Raw genomic sequence first — 17707 nt, 5'->3', positions numbered from 1 at the left:
CATACTGAAAGATTTCTGTCCTACAGAAAAACCGCATGATCTTAAGATGATTCTTTCCGCTTTTTTTAAAAGCAAAGACAGATCCACCATAGTTGGCCCCCGGTAAATGTTTGTTTCTCAGAGAAGTGGATGAATAACTACCCTGAGAGCTTTTTAATCAGTGTGAAAGGCACCCTGAAAACTTCTAATCAGCTTGAAAGGCATAACCAGCCACACTTAGTTGCCAGAACATGAGTCGGAGGCAAAGAAAAGGCATGTTTGGGGGTGTTTTTCCCTCTCACAACAGTTCAATAAAGGCCAATTTGAGGCTGCGAGCAGTGGCTCATGCCTGTAATCTCAACAATTTGGGAGGCCAAGGTGGGCGGATCACCTGAGGTCAGGAGTTCAAGACCAGCCTGGCCAACATGGTGAAACCCCATCTCTACTAAAAATACAAAAATTAGCCAGGCGTGGTGGCAGGCCCCTGTAAATCTCAGCTACTTGGGAGGCAGAGGCAGGAGAATTGCTTGAACCTGGGAGGCGGAGGTTGCAGTGAGCTGAGATCACACTACTGCACTCCAGCCTGGGTGAAATGGAGCAAGACTCCATTTCAAAAAAAATAAAAAAACAACAATTTGAGTATAACAAAAAGGATCATACTTCAGATTTAGAAAACAGTATTGGCATTAAAGATGCTTGTCTTCTCTCAGGACTATTTCAAGGTGAACCTCTTCACAAGAGCCATGTCATTCTCCATTTCTTCAGCACTACCTGCCCCCTTTTTAAATCTAGTTTTCAGAAAGTCCTTCTGGGCTGCTGGCCCTCTCTGCCTACCGGACCAGCTGCAACACCAGGCACTCCCTTGCTTTTTTCACTTGTTCTGTCTGTCTCCTGATACCTCCAGAAGTCACACGGGATTTTTAAAAATCCTATTGCAGGTATCTATAATATCCACAAAGCTTTTGAAATATCAATAGCTACTTGATGATCCCCATTGCTATCTCTGTGAACCCTTGGGAAGAAAAGCTGGCTGTTCAGCACTCATCTATCCCAATCTTCACTGCCTTAGTCCATTGCAGCTGCTATAACCAAACACATGGGGCTGAATAATTTATAAACCACAGAAATTTATTTCTCTCAGTTCTGGAGTCTGGTTAATCCAAGATCAAGGCACCAGCACATCGGTGTCTGGTGCGGGTCTCTGCTTTCAAGATGGTGCCTTTAACATTGTACCTTCCAAAGGGGACAAATGCTGTGTCCTCATGTGATGGGAGAAATGAAAAGGGTAAAAAGGGCCTAGCTAGTTTCCTCCAGATTTTTTATAAGGCACTAATCCCATTCATGAGAACAGAGCCCTTATAGCCTAATCACCTCCTACAGGCCTCACCTCTTAATATTGCATTTAGGGGATTATGTTTCAATATAAATCTTGAAGAAGACACAGACTTTCAAACTGTAGCATCCACCTTTTACAAGTAAGGAAACTGAGGCCCAGAATGGTTGTGTATCTCTTCTGAACTCTCAGTTAGTTAATTACAATTTAGTTAAATAAAGAATGAAATTACGGTAACCACAGAATTAAAAAATCTTGTCTCTAGAACAGTATTTGTGCACAGACAGGGAACTTAGAAAAGTCTATGGCTTGTTAACAAGAACGATGACTCTGTTGCAGATGGGATAGCGATGGGAATAGGAAGGAAGATCAGGAGTTAGTCCCTGTGGCCTGCGTGTAGTCAAAGATGTCAACTGTGTTTTCTCATGCTGATACCTCTACCCCCATGAAGGGGTTAACAGTCTCAAGGCATATACCCAAAATAAAAATCTACTTTTGATTTTGACATTTTGTGAAGGTAATTTATGTGAATTTATGTGTGCAGGCTTCCGTGAGTCTCTCCGTGAGAACAGCCGAGGGATGTGCGGTGGATAAACAACAATACTCTAACACCTCATAACTCTCCAACAAGCCTGCTTCTGTGCCAGTTGAGATAAGAAAATTGGCAAACAATTCCTTACAATTTCACATTTTGTATATTAGTGATAACATGCCAGCAGGGCTGCTCTGTGTCCTGGGGGAAAGTTGAGTTGATGGAGGCTTTCTCCCTTCCCAGCTCCACCTGGGCCAGGCAGAGTCCTCTGCTCTGCTATAAAGTGCTTCGACTCAGCAGCAGATGGAAAGAGGGCCGTGGGGAAGAATACAGGGCTAGGCCAAGAAATGTGGGTGCTCACTCTTTTGCCGTCCCCTCAGAGTGACCCTGGGTAGGTCACTTTCTTGCTTCCCTTCTCTGCACTTCAGGTTCCTCTCTACAAAATAAAGGTGAGACTTGATTGTTTGCAAGTTGTGCTCCTGGATACTATTCATTGTTTTTTTGTTTGTTTGTTTTTGGTTTTGGTTTTTTTTGAGATGGAGTCTCGCACTGTTGCCCCGGCTGCAGTGCAGTGGCGTGATCTCAGCTCACTGCAACCTCTGCCTCCAGGGTTCAAGAGATTCGCCTGGATCAGCCTTCTGCCTCCAGGGTTCAAGCAATTCTCCTGCATCAGCCTCCTGAGTAGCTGGGATTACAGGTGTCCGCCACCAAACCCAGCTAATTTTTTTGTATTTTTAGTAGAGACAGGGTTTCACCATTTTGGCCAGACTGGTCTCGAACTCCTGACCTCATGATTCGCCTGCCTCGGCTTCCCAAAAGTGCTGGGATTACAGGCGTAAGCCATCGGGCCCGGCCCTGGATACTACTCTTGAGGTTACCTGAGGGGTTCATGGGTGGGTTTCCCGGTCATCAATCTTATTTCAGTCAAAAAAGATCCATTTATCATTTACTGGATTTCTTCTGAAGCTTTTATTTGAGGGAAAAATGTTCAAATTTGAAAACTGTTGGACTAAATTATTCCTAAGTTTCCAGCTCAACGAGTCTACAAGATTTGATTAATTTTTCTTCAGTGTCCAGAATGTTTTAGATGGAAGCCTGTAGAGATTGTTCATAAATGGTTTTCCCCATATCATCATGTGACTCCAACTGAGCAAATTGGTTCTCTTGTGATTCAAAAGCTGTAAGGTCACAGGAATAAGATTGTGATAACGGTCATGAATTTGGGTGCCTATTGTGGAGATTACAGGGTGTTGTTTTATGACTTCCCTCTGACTCAAATAAAAATCCATATAGACCAGAGCTGCTTGGGACATGCAGAGTGGAGAGCTGGGCATCTCACCCAGTCTAGGGCCAAAGACATGCTCGAACCTCAGTAACTATTCTTGTACTTAAGAAGGAAATAATTTAAAGTTCTGTTGAGTTTCTCACAGCATGTATTTATTTTTAGAGAGATTTTCTCAAAAAATACATAAAGAAGAAAATGATAAAGACAAAGATATTGACTAGAGAATTTTTTGAGATTACAGATCCCTTGAGATGAATTTTCTTAGACATTTGAGTGCATGCTTCTACCACTCATCCAGTCTGGGTTATGAGAGCACTTGAGTTCTTGACTCCCGTGGCATTGATCCTACTATTCTGTAATCACCATTTACTTTCCTGTCTTCACTAGTGGGCCATGAGCAATTCCAGAGCAGGAACTGTGCTGCACTAATCTTCATAGTCCAGCACTTAGTATGGGCATGATATAGAGCCGCCATTAAGTTTAAATTTCTTGGATGGATGAATGGATACCCTGCCTGTTCCTTGGCAGTGCTTCAGATTGGAAGGACAAGGCTTAATTTGTTTTATCTGTGCGCATTTCCTCATACACAGCGAGTGCTCAGTAAATGTTTGTGGACCGAGTAATGAAGTTCTGTGCTAAAGCATGAACAAAAGCATCTTCTCTCACAGACACACATAGGAACTCATACCACAGTCTTTAATCTATAGAAGCTCATAGTCTAGTGGAGGTGACAGAAACATGAGCAGATAATGGCAGCCTTTTGTGATAGAGTCATGATAGGAGTATGTGCACAAAACACCATAGAGACAGAAGATGGTGAGTGGGAAGAGGGGAATGCGAGTGTGGGAAGTTAGAGGTGTGGAATAAGGCACCTCAGAGCTGACTGTACACTAGAGGGTAGGTGGAGGATGTTCCAGGCAAATGTGTGAGGTGTGAGAGGAGTGTGTTCCAAAAGTGGCAGGTAATATGGTGTGTGCAATTGAGATGTCAGCCGCCCACCCCCAAACCCAATCCCTTGAAGATCTGGTTACAGTTGGTGAAAACTAACATTTTGCAATGGGAGGAGAATCTGAAAGACTTCTCACACTTTCTCTGTATTCGCTTCTCTCTGCCATCCCCTCCACACCTGCTGAGAATTTTCTCACAGTCAACCCACTTACACATTCTGGCCTTGGCACTGTAAATATTCCAGTTGCCTTAAGAATTTCATGGGGTTAACAACTTCATCAAAGATTTAGAGAGGTCATGGGGAGGTTTGTCACATTGTGTATGGTCCAATATTGTATCATTTATCTATTTCTCACTTCTCTCTTTTCAGAATAACAAATTCTTTCTTGTTTATGTGTTTGGTTTTGGTTAGAAACATATCCACTTAATCTACATATCCAGATCTCTTGGGTTCTCCCCTTCACAGCCCTGTCCAATATTGAAATTCCCCTACAGGGATAAATTCTATAGCTAGCTATTAATATAAACCTATATAAGGATTTGTGAATTAGAAGAGAGTTGGCAGGAGAAGCATCTGAAAAAGTAAAACAAAACCACTCTGTAAGCCAAATATTGAATTGAGTGACTTATCTCAGGCAATAGCAAAAGTGTCCTACTTTGCAACTGGCCTGACCCTGAAGACTGTGGGACAGAAAAGGGACAGAAAAGTGGTGGAATTCTGGGGAGTAGAATAAATAAGACTAAGTCACCAGTTCCCCAACCCCAACCAAACACACATACAAAAGAGAGAGAAAAATATAGAAAGACAGGATAGAGCAACACGCAAGGCTAAAGATGTGGGTCCTGATAATGCACTCGGAGAGCCTGTAAAGACTCAGATGTTTTCTCCATATACAGATGAACAAGAAAGAAGCAGAGAGATAAAAAAAATCAACCAATGCCAACAGCTGAGACCTGCAGTAGCCTTTGTTATTTTCTCTACAAACTAAACACAATCCCTGATTTTGAATCTGCTGATTCAGAAGCTTGGTGGTGTCAATGCCTACACATTAAAGCAAGCCTCTGTCCCAGTTATTGAGACATCCCAGGCGAGTGTGTAGATTAATGCCTACCAGAGATTACTACCTTCCCAGCATCAATCCTGGTGCCAGGCAGCAGTGAGAACAAACATTCCACAACCACATGTTCTTGCCTGGGAGTTTTGTTTAAGGAAGTCACCCCAAAACCTCAGTTTCTTGTTAGACCAACTGTGACTTTTTACACATCGATTTTATAAAATTCATGGAAAGTATTCATCTAAGTTTTGAAAATAGGATTTTCCCCTCAAAATAAAAACTCCAGCCTTTATTATTCTAATGAAATTTTTATTAATAAACACTTTATTGAACTATGACATGCACTCAGAAAATCATAAATATGCAGAACAATGAATTATCATAAAATAAGAATACCAGTGTGATATGATTTGGCTGTGTCCCCACCCAAATCTCATCTTGAATTGTAGCTCCCATAATTCCCACAGTGTCATGGGAGGGACCCAGTGGGAGGTAACTGAGTCATGGGGGCCAGTCTTTTCCATGCTGTTCTCGTGATAGTGAGTAAGTATCACGAGATCTGATGGATTTATAAAGGGGAGTTTCCCTGCACATGCCCTCTCCTGCCTGCTGCCATGTAAGATGTGTCTTGCTTCCCCTTCCCCTTCTGCCATGATTTTGAAGCCTCCCCAGCCATGTGGAACTGTGAGTCAATTAAACCTCTCTCCTTTATAAATTACCCAGTCTCTGGTATATCTTTATTAGTAGCATGATAACAGATATTAATACACCATGCAAATAATTACCGAAGTCAAGAAATAGCACACTACCAGCACTGTGACAGGATTATTTTTCTGAAAGTGACTCTTCAGTTAGTTTCACATGATAAAATCCAACAGGGCTGCCAAACATTTCAGATATTATCTAACTCAACATCTTCATTTTACAAATAAGAAATTAGATCCTCAGATGGGAGTAAGGAAGTGACTTACCTCAGGTCACAAAGTAAATTAATGGAAGCAGTAGGGTTTCAGGCTCCTCTTTTCTGCTTAAACTGCCTCAAATCCCTGAGAAAGCTTTGTTGGCCTATGAAGCAAAAGAAACCTGCTCTCTGAGAGAGGTGATGTCAGCAAGATGGCCGGCTAGAAGCCCCCTAGCACTCTACTCTTTACAAAGACAGTCAGAACAATAAATAAACAACTACATTTTAATGAAAATAACCAAGGAAGGGCACCAAAGTACATCAGGGGAGTAACAGAAACCCTGGTAAACACAGAAATTTGGGATTGTTACGTAGAGATGGGAAGGAAATGCCAGGCCTCTACCACTCCATCCCTTAATCAGGATCACCTAGGAACTAGGAGGAACTTCTGTCTACAACAAGGAAGAAAGCAAGAGGATCCTAGGAATCCCCATCAACACCTTGGACACCAATAGATTTCAACCCTGGGATCCCCAGCTGTGCTCACAGGCACTAAGCCCAGCTGTGGGAGCTGACTGGAGTCCACATAGCTGTGCTCCCTCCAGAGGAGATGCTGACACTGTGCCCTGCCCCCTGTGGCCCACACGGCTACTGCAATACACTGTCTTGAATTAGAACTATGGCTAGAGTGTGTCTTGCTCTAGCGGTGAGTAGTCATGGCTCTCCTTTATCCTTGAGGCTAAGCTACTGCCAAACCACCGCAGACCAGTGGCCAAATATCCTCAAGCCAAGCCACAATCAGCTGTTACAGCTTTCTCTGTTGAGTCGAGCAGAGGTGAAGCCACTTCACCTACCACTCCCGCTGCCTTTTCAGCTAGAGCTGAAGCAGGACTCTGCCTCTTGGGAAATAGTACTTTAGCCACTAAGAGAAGCCACACCTCCCTAGTGTCTAAATTGAAGTAGTTCCCTTCATCCCAGGAAACAGTGCCTTGACCACCAAGAGTGGTCATGCACCCCAGTACCTAAGCTGAAGCAGCAACCTGCATCCCAGGAAAACAGTGCCTAGGTGGCCCAGAACAGTCACCATACCCTCAGGCCTGAGCTGATACAACATATCACCCCCTAGGGAATCAGTGCCCTGGTTAAGCTGAGCAGCTTTGCATCTCAGGGTTGGGCTTACATAGTACCCCATGCTCCAAGGAAACAGAGCAGTGGCTGAGCTGAGATACCTCACCTTATAAGCCAAATAAGTCTAGTACCTTTGGAGCTGGACTAGCCCCCTAGAGTGGTGTCTTAGCTGCTGAGACACCCCTCTTCCTGGGGAGTGAAGTCATCACTGTGCTGTCCCCAGCCCAGCTCCAGGGCTCAGATAATAGCCATGCTCCACCGTTCTGGGGTACTGTTGCCACTGCACCTGGCCTCACAGAGGCTGAGATACTGCTGAGCCCTGAAATCCCAGGGTCTATAGCTACTACTACACAGTATCTCATTCCCTGGGACTCAAGCTGCCACTGAGCCCTGTTGGCACAGGTTTCCAAATTGCAGCCATACTCTGCTCTGCAGGTCCAAACCTCTAGGACACTCCCTTTTCCCCACAGATGTGCCAGTACTCTGAGCTCCCACCCATGGGTAGAATCACAATCATGACACAGACTCCTGAGCCCAAGCTGTTAGGAGATGCCTCAGAGTCACAGATCCAGGCTCTGTGGGCAACCTGTATTCAACCAGCCAAAGAGAGAAAACTTGCAGCCAAAGACCTAGGTGTCACAATAGGTTCATGTAACACTGAGCCCAGGACCTTTGCACCACAGCTGCTATGATTACCTGTACCTGGAACCCAGCACCACTGCAGCTACTTGTAGGCTGTGTCAGACCTGATAATAAAAGGGATCTCCTTGGCTAAGTCTCTCCACTGTAGGAAAAGTAAGGAGAGAAGAACCCCAAAGCGCTTGATACCTAGAACATTAACAACCTATGCTGTCATGGCCACAGGCTTCTACAGCCTAGGCCACTGAGGTGCCCACACTTACTACTGACATTGAATACAGCTAAAGAAGCTGCACAGAGATCATACCATTGCACCTATGCAGAAAAACGGTCACTACACCCTTCACAACCAGCAGGCAAAAAAAACAACAGCAGGTGCAGGTGAAAATCTTTCTTTATGAAAGCTATTGTAGAAAGTTTGCAAGAGATGATTGACCATATGCACAGACAGCAACACATGAATAAGAAACATGAAAAAGCAAGAAAATATGATGTCACCAACAAATTATAATAATTATCTAGTAGCCGACCTCAATAAATAGACAAATAAATGAATCGCCAGGAAAAGGAATTCAAAATAATCCTCTTAAGGAACAAGAAACAAACAACCAAAAACATACGGACAGACGATTCAACAAAATCAGGAAACCAACTCATGGTATGAATGAGAAATTGCACAGAGATAGTAGACATACATAAAGCAGCAAACAGAAATCCCGCAGTATTCTGAATAAGTTGATTAATAAAAGAGACAGCCTCAACAACAGACTTGATCTAGCAGAAGAATCTCTGAATTTGAAGATAGGTAATTTGAAATTACAAAGTCAGAGAAAAAAAAAAAGAACTAAGAATGAAAAGGAGTGAGGAAAGCTTACAAGACTTATGGACACTATTAAGTGAACAAATATTTGTATCATGGAAGTTCCAGAAAGAAAAGAGAAGGGAAAGTGTATGGAAAACCTATCTAATAAAATAAAGCTGAAAGCTTCCCAAGTCTGGGGAGAGATATGCATATTTAAATCTGGGAAGCAAAAAAGTACCCAAATAGATTAAACCCAAAAGTTTCTCTGTGAAGCACAGTGTAGTCAAACTGTCAAAAGTCAAAGAGAATCTGGGCAACACAACAAGGCTCCAATTCCACAAAATATTAAAAATTAGTTGGACATGGTATCATGCACATATAGTCCCAGCTACTCAGGAGGCTGAGGTGGAAGACTTGCTTGAGCCCAGAAGTTCAAGTTTGCAGTGAAATGGAATTATGCCACTGCACTCCAATCTGAGTGACAAAGCAAGACCTCATCTCAAAAAAAAAAAAAAAAAAAAATTAAAAGTCAAAAACAAAGAGAGAATTCTAAAAACAGCAAAATAAAAACATCAAGTCACATATAAGAGAATCCCTGTAAGACTAAACAGCAGATTTCTCTGCAGAAACCTTACAGGCAGGTAGAAAAGAAGATTATATACTCAAAGTGCTAAAAGGAAATTATTGACAACCAGGAATACTATACCCAGCAAAATTATCATTCAGAAATGAAGTGAAAATAAAGTATTTCCCAGACAAACTAAAACTGGGGGAGTTCATCACCACTAGATTGGACTTATGAGAAATGCTCAAGGAAATCCTGCAACTGGAGGCAGAAAGTTAATATTCACTATCAAGAAAACATCAAAAGTTTGAAATTCACTGGTAGAACAGATACTCAAAGGAGAAAGAAAAAAAGAAGCAAACCTTATAATGACAGAAAACCATTAAACCACAATGATAGACAATAAAAGAAAATGAAAGAAACAAAGGATACACAAAACAACCAGAAAGCAATTCACAGAATGACAGGAGTAAATTCTCATCCATCAATAACCATAAATTATTTGATCTCTTGAGGATCATTATAAAGACCTTCTAATTCATGTCCCTTAAGTTTTACTCTTTTCAATTTTTGCCTACTGAGTACTAATCACACTGCATTACAACTACCTGTTAGCTTGCCTTAACTTTCACATCCTCTTCACTAGTACATGAGCTCCTTGATGTTAGGGACCAGGTTTTATTTACTATGGTATCCTTAGCACCAAGTAGAGCACATAGAAAGCATTCATTATGTATTAGCTGAACAAATGAATCAGTAATAAATATCTTTACTACATGGAGCTTCCACGACAGAAAATGCAAAGGGAATTTAGCTAAGAGAGTCTCTCTCTTCAGGTATTATGAAACTAGAACTGACAAGAGAAGATTTGAAATCCTTTCTTCTAAACCTGGCTTCAAACTTAACAGTTCTCAGAAATGTAACATGAATGGCAATTTAGAAATGCAATTTTTCTATGCTCTCAGGCATCATGATCTTCTGTCAACCAGTTATTTAGTTATTGCCTATGACTGGGCTCCATGGGTAAATTGTGAGCTTGGTGAGCTTCCTGTGCCCCGATTTGTCCCTCCTGGATCCCCACAAAATCTGTAAGCCTTTGTGCAGCCCAGTGTGTTCAGTTATAATGTCTTTCACAGAAGATGTTTGCATCACTAGAGACAGACAGAAGAAGGAATCATTTGCTTCTGCCTGAAACCATCCTGAGAAGTAAGTGACGAATATCAGAGTCTTCCCTGAAAGAGGATCTAGGTATAAAGGAACTAGAGAAGAGGCTTAATCTAAACCAATGGGCAATATTCAGGAGTAGGCATTCAAAAGGGGTGGAACAAGACCAGGAAGGAGAGCCCAGGTCTTAAAAATAGATGTGGCTAACTTCTCATCTTGTGGGGCTGTAACTGAAGGATAATTTGTGTTTTAATGATGAAATATATACATTAAGCTCCCAAAATGCTGAATGCTAAACAAGACACCAAATCTGAGAAAATAATGAGATGCAAGAAGGCATCCAAATAATATCATTCTAAGGCTACTTTGACCCAGTTCCACTCCACCTGGGTTAGGATGTTACCACCTAGAATTCAGCCTGTTCTACAAGATGCCAGGAAGATTTAAATAGATCCAGAGAGCTCCATCCAGGGAGAGAGAAAAGGCAAAAGAGCTAGAACAATAGGGGTAGCTCTCATTAAAGTAATAAAGGTCAGAGCACAAATGTGGGAAGAGGAAAGTAGTTTTAAAAATGACATTCAGATTCATTCTAAGATGATTTAATAAAAGTGGACAGTTCAGAATGCTAAAGAATGAAAATTAAAAAATACTTTCATATTGTCTTGCTGAAGGCAGTTAGATAAAAGACTGATGAAGAACGATAACATCTGTCACAAATAGCTCTTTATTTTTCTATATTTCCATAAGAAAACAAAACAATAAAGATATGTGCACATATGAAAATAAAATTATATATGACCATATGTGTATAAATATGGTCATATTTGAAAGTAAGAATACATGTATATTTACGTGTGAACTGCTACAACTACTGAATAAGCAATGACCAAAATTAGCCAGAATAGACAGTAAATGTCCTGAGAAAATTAAAAGACCTACCTGTGATATTCGCATTTCCTTGCTTCTGTGAATATTTATCTCAAAGCCGGCTCATTGCAAAGGGATAATGTTTGGTTTTGATCAGCCTTTCTGTAAATGTATGACTCAATCACAAAGCAGCTAAGAGGGGAGTAGGAATATGGATCAGGGAAAGATTAATGAAAGAACTCATTATGAAGAGTGGTTGGTAATGCCATCTCTATATATTAAATGTACATGTATGTTGTAATCATACCTCTCAACTTCTTTATCTATAAAAATATGCACATTGATGCCAGGCCTGCTTACTCTACACAATTTTTGTGAAGATTAAATGAAAAAAGTTGTGAAAGTACTTTGTAGATGATGAAGTATCTTGATCCTGCATCTTGTGAAGAGCTATTAGCATTCTTATCATAGACGTAGGAGGCAATAAAATAAAATAATTTCTGTGCAGAGGCTGCTGGCAGTTCCTAAAGTATGCCAAAGAGAAAGTGAGGCTGCCCAGAGATTTGAGGGAAACCTTTTATCTATCTTGATGAAGTTAACATTATTGGCAAGATGTGGGGGGTGACAGGGAGGAGAGGCGATGTGTTTAGACCAGGGATGTGTCAATTCTTCCCAGAAGACCAAGGAGACCAGATAGAAACTGAAGCTCACAGGGCCAGAATTTGATGCTGCCCACATCACCTGTGAACATGCTTACTATGTCAATTCTTGCCTCTAGAGAATTTTTTCAGAACATAAAGGCAGTGAAAGAACATCTGTGGCTTATATAATATGTCCTATTTGTGAACAGAGAAATTCAAGTGAATGGATAAGTCTGACTATTCCTTAGAGTTTTCTTTCGATATAGGTTTCACCAGAAGTGGGTTAGTTCACAGCATTAGTGTTTGGCAGTATCTCTGTATCTAAGAACTTCATTGGTGACATTGTATAGTGCTTAAAGAGATCACCTAAATGATGCGACTCTCAAATGTATTCCCTGTTAACTATGAGAGAAGCTCTATCTTCCCTTTTAAATGGGCTATAGCCAGTCTATAATAATCAGATCTATTTCTACTTCATATTATTCCTTATTTCTTCTCCTGCATCCCATCTAAAATAGGTAATGTCAGGCTTCAAATGCCATTAGTGTTTGACAGTGAATCTCTGTAATTCTCCCACTAAAGCATAATCAGTGGATATACTTATTAGAAAATGCTATAGAGAGTAGCTAAAACTAACTCTCCATTTGGAAGTGACAGAATATAGAATCTTCAATTTAGGAGAGGCCTCATGTGCTAGTTCAACACCCCGTCCGGGATAGGTATCTTGAAGAACGTTCCTTTGCATAACTAATAATGTTATCTAACTGTAGATTTATGTCCCATGACATAAATGGGGCAAGCCAGCATATTATCACAAGCTATTCTGGTGTACTTGTACATGTGAAAAGAGAGGAATCATTTGAAATAAGTGACCTTTCCAGCCAGATTTTTTTTTTACTCATCATCTCCCAGGGGCAAATCCAAGTATATCCCTTATTCCAATTTTTTTAAAATAACAATTCTATTTTATTTATAATATCAGAAAATTGACAACTATCTAAATGTAGTTTAGGTAGAATATTATATAACCAATTGACAACTATCTAAATGTAGTTTAGGTAGAATATTATATAACCATTATAACTAACGTTGTACAAATACAATAGAAAGATATCTATGGCATTTTTTTTAAATCAAGCTATAAAAAGGACATAGCATGATCGTAGTTTTTACAAAAATAAAATATAGATATGTATAAAAAAACATTTACAAGGTTATCCACGAAAATGTTCACATTAGTTTTCTCTAGGTAATGGGATTATAGGTTGTCTTAAAATTATATTTTCTAATTTTTTACAATGCAAATGTTATAAAAAGTAACAAATAAGAAAAAAACAGCATTTGTTCCAGTAAAAATACTCAAAAATCTAAAAGGTGCCTACATTTTCATTACAGATTTCTCTTTCACCATCAAGGAAAAAACTATTTTATTTTGTAAACGAAATGTATTAAAGTTTGGCCTTCAGAAAATCTCCAAAAGTAAAAGTCAGGAGAAGATGAAAATTAATGCCCAAATAGAGACTATTTTCTGTACGCAGATAACTGGGTTATTGGTCAATGACTTTTATCTGCCCACTGATATGCAAAGGCTGCATACAGGAAAAAAAGTCAAAAGAAGTTCTGAGGAATGGAGACAGACAGTGTCTCTTGGGCAAGGCTTATCTTACAAGAAGTTATGAAAGTGCTATGCAGGCCAAGAAGTTACAAACCTGTTATGTAAATTATATGAGGGAAGAGGGAGGGAGGAATGTTTGCTTAGAGATAAGCCCAGTACACTTCCAATGAACAGATCTGAGAACAAAGCCCTTAGTTATAGATGGACTGGACAGGGCTTGGCAGAAATTCTAGTCTTATAGCAAAAGACTACAGCAAGTGATGTGGAGGAGGAAAAGGGAAGGATGGCAGTGACTGTTTTAAACATAGGGCTGGGAGACAGGATAGTAAAGGCAGGCTATCCAGACGAGTGATTCCACACCCATCGGACCTAGAACTTGGGCCCCAACACAAGCCAGGCTCAAAAATGCTGGTCTGAAACAAAACAGAGTAAAATATTTTCCACCTTTACTCTTTCATTGTGCCAAATGGGCTAGAAGTCATAGCATAACTCACCTTTCTCTGAGAAGAGGTCAAAAGAAAATGCCTGGCCAAAGGGAATCCATGTCCCAGCACACATCCCTAAAGGTACTCACGTCTGTTAACTCTCGAATGAATTTTCTGATGTCAGTGTTTCTTGAAATGCATCTGTTCTCTAGTAGAGGTAACATTACTTATATTGCACTGAACAGTTTTTCTTTTTTTCAATTATCTTTTCTTTTTATTTCTTTGACTTCTGCAGAAGTTCAATTCTTGCTTGTTTTCAGTTTTTGAGCTTTCACTCCATTTGGGAGTTCAGCCAATCAGTTGCTGAACCAGACAACTTATTATAACTTCCTCCGTTGGAGCCTGAAATATGTCTTTACTTTTGATTTACATACAACATTGTGGGTGATATATCAAGATTATTCACTACAACTCAAAGACACAAATGTTTCGAGAATTAATTACGTCAACGCTTTCAGAAGATAATGGGTAAGAAGCAATTCAGATAAAAATTGATTCATTTCATGCAATCAATACCTTTATCACAAAATAGACCAGCATATTAGAGAAAGCTTTGGAGTCAGAAGGACTTGAGCTTGAATCTGGGCTCTGCAACTTACCAGCTACCTGAGTTTGAGTGGCAATTTAAACCCCTCAGCCTCAGTTTTCTCAAATGTCAAGTAGATCCACACATCTTACAGGACAGTATAAGAATTAGATGAGGCTGGGCACGGTGGCTTACGCCTGTAATCCCAGCACTTTGGGAGGCCGAGGCAGGTGGATCACGAGGTCAGGAGTTTGAGACCAGCCTGACCAATATGGTGAAACCTGGTGTCTACTAAAAATACAAAAAAAAAAAATAAAAATCAGCTGAGCGTGGTGGCGGGGTCTGTAATCCCAGGTACTCAGGATGCTGAGGCAGAAGAATCGCTTGAACCCAGGAGGCAGAGGTTGCAGTGAGCCAATACCGTGTCACTGCACTCCAGCCTGGGTGACAGAGTGAGACTCCATCTCAAAAAAAACAAAAAACAAACAAAAAAAAGTTAGATGAACTTGGCCGGGGTGGCTCATGCCTGTAATCCCAGCACTTTGGGAGGCTGAGATAGGAGGCTCGCTGGAGCCCAGTGGTTTGAGACCAGCCTGGGCAACATGGCAAAACCCCGTCTCTACCAAAAGTACAAAAAATTAGCCAAGTGTGGTGGTGCGAATCTGTGATCCCAGCTACTCAGGAGGCTGAGGTGAGAGGATCACTTGGGCCTGAGAGGCAAGTGTTGCAGTGAGCCGAAATGGTGCCACTGTGATCCAGGCTGGGTGACAGTGAGACTCCATCTCAAAAAAAAAAAAAAAAAAAAACACTTTAGATGAACAAATGAATCTAAAGGCCTAGAAAATATGATAGGATTTCAAAACAGTTTGAAGTCTAATAATTGACTGAATCTATGCTAGAGGAATCTGAACAATTGTGAGCAGAATATATGAAATCTAGCGATAGTGGGGAATTCCTGAAGAAGTAGGCATCAGGAAATCCAGGTTCAAGTATAATCCATTAATCCATTTCTTCTCTAGCTATCTTTTTTTTTTTCATATGTACTAGGAGAATACTGAACTACTTGCCCCCATCTCAATTTTCTCTCTAATTATGCTGGTCTAGGAATCTACTCAGGTCTGGTGTGGAGCCCTCATTCTAATACAAGATGGAGCTCTTACAGGTCATTTATAAAACAGGTCAAATACCAAATCAATAAGACTAAAAGAGCCGGAATATATTTATTTTTATCATTTTTATCCTACTGTAAGTCAAAAGGTGCTAGTTCATGGTTAAATGTTTGCAGAAAATTGCGTCTTTAAGAGCACCAAGGGTAGGAAATCAGAAAAAACAAGTTACTAGGTTTTTTGTTTTGTTTTGTTTTAATTCAACAAGGAAAAAAACATCGAATGGTAGGGACTTTCTGTCTGGTTTCATTAGCTGTTCCCTCCCAGCAATGAGATCAGCACTTCAGAGAGGACCAGCCTTCGTACCCTGGGCAAATTTCCAGCTAGACATGGTCAATCCAAGAAAAATTCCCCTCTCACCCTCACCAATCACAACATTTCGGGTCATCATTGACTTTTCTCCAGTTTATGAAATAACCCAGTCATAGCTTTCTGGATTTTTTACATAGTGAAAACTTCCATTTAGTGTTTATCTCACATAGAACAAAGATTTTATCTTTGTCTATTGACTATACAACTACAAAGATAAATTTTTAAAAAATAACTTGCTGCCTAAAGCTTAGAGCCTAGTAGAAGCATTAATGACTTAAGGATCAAATTTAAATTGGAAATATTTAAAATTAAAGGTTCTTATTGTATCACATGAGGTATGCACATCTATCATGGAGTATAATACAATCCTTGGAAATCATATTTTTAAAGACAATTAAATGACAAATAAAAATCTACAGAATAATGCTTTGTGAAAAAGTAGGGTCCTAAGCTATACATACCATATGGTTTTTCAAATCCTGAAAAATATACAAATAAGCAAAGAAAAATGTTAGAAAGTAACATATTAAAATGTTAAAGGGGGCTTATCTCTGGAAGGAGAAGGTTTAAAAGATGTAGAATAATTCATCCAATGCACATATGCATTGGAAACACATGCTGCAAAATGTTGCGAATATTATCTCTGGCTCACTGGCTTCTGGATTATTCTTACTCTCTTTTTTTATAACTTTCTACATTTTCTAGTGTTCTTTGCTTTGCACGTAGATAATCCTTAGGACTGACAGGAAAAAAAAATGTCGTAAATATTGTTTCAAATAACTGAGCCAGGCTGGGTGCAGTGGCTTACGTCAGTAATCCCAGTGCTTTGGGAGGCCGAGATTGGGGGATCGCTTGAGCCCAGGAGTTTGAGACCAGCCTGGGCAACATGGCAAAACACCATCTCTACAAAAAATTTCAAAAATATACCCAGCTGGAGTGGCATATTCCCATGGTCCCAGCTACTTGGGAGGCTGAGGTGGGAGGATCGCTTGAGCCTGGGAGGTTAAGGCTGCAGTGAGCCGTGATTGTGCTACTGCACTCCTGCCAGCCAGCCTGGGTAACTGAGTGAGATCAGGTCTCAAAAAAAAAAGATTACCCAAGCTGGCACCTTCAAAGGTGACAGATAAGCAAGTAATCATAGAAGAAAAAACCCATCAAAGATAATAGTGACACAAGGTTCTTAGAAGGACTACATCCAGGTCAGAGATCACTGTATGTGTAGGACATGAAAATGCACTTAGTTTTTAAAGTCCACCAAATAAGGATATTGAGCTAACTCATTCCTACCTCCTTAACAGGCTTTGCCTAACCACCAAACCCACTGGGACAGACAGACTTCCACAACAAGATGAAACAATACACGCACGCCAAGGTAAGTGCCTTTTATCTCCAAGGGAACTATAAGCTCCACTAGGTAAGATCCCATCCGCTCTGCTGTTGCGAATCTCACCCCCACTGCTAACACTGAGTGTTCTGAACAGAATAGATACTTAATAAATGTGTATGATGTACACCATGCAGGGGATGGCAGAAGCACAAGGGCAGAGGAATAAGAAGAACATAGAGGTAATCAGTCTAACATTGCCAACTGCAGGATACGTGGCCTTGATGATGACGGTACGGGAAGATTTTAATGAGGACAACAGTGATAACACAGGCAGAGAGCTACAGCTTTGCTAAATGTTCCTTTAGAGAGATTGATCTTAATAATTATTTGGCCTCATTTAATTTTTCTTATTATGTTGTAGACCACACATAAGAGCA

The 17707-nt window shown here is 40.4% G+C and overlaps 1 protein-coding gene across 22 annotated transcripts in view; it reads right to left on the bottom strand.

Moving 5' to 3' along the window:
• TPRG1 (tumor protein p63 regulated 1) overlaps positions 1 to 17707 on the bottom strand; it is a 328078-nt gene that overhangs the window by 123048 nt on the left and 187323 nt on the right. For 3 of the 22 annotated variants that reach the window (XM_005247382.6, XM_011512735.4, XM_011512734.4), the window contains exon 1: positions 11271 to 15266. The exons of 17 other annotated variants lie outside the window; for them this stretch is intronic. In XM_005247382.6, coding sequence (XP_005247439.1) covers positions 11271 to 11285 — 15 coding nt within the window. In that variant the 5' untranslated portion in view covers positions 11286 to 15266. Of the gene's footprint in view, positions 1 to 11270; positions 16760 to 17707 lie in introns of those variants that run through there. 2 more of the 22 variants (XM_005247388.5, XM_011512736.4) reach the window with 1 other exon arrangement.

The sequence above is a fragment of the Homo sapiens genome, chromosome 3 (assembly GCF_000001405.40).
Source record: "Homo sapiens chromosome 3, GRCh38.p14 Primary Assembly".
NCBI lineage: Eukaryota > Metazoa > Chordata > Mammalia > Primates > Hominidae > Homo > Homo sapiens.
This window is presented reverse-complemented; position numbering and strand designations above follow the sequence as displayed.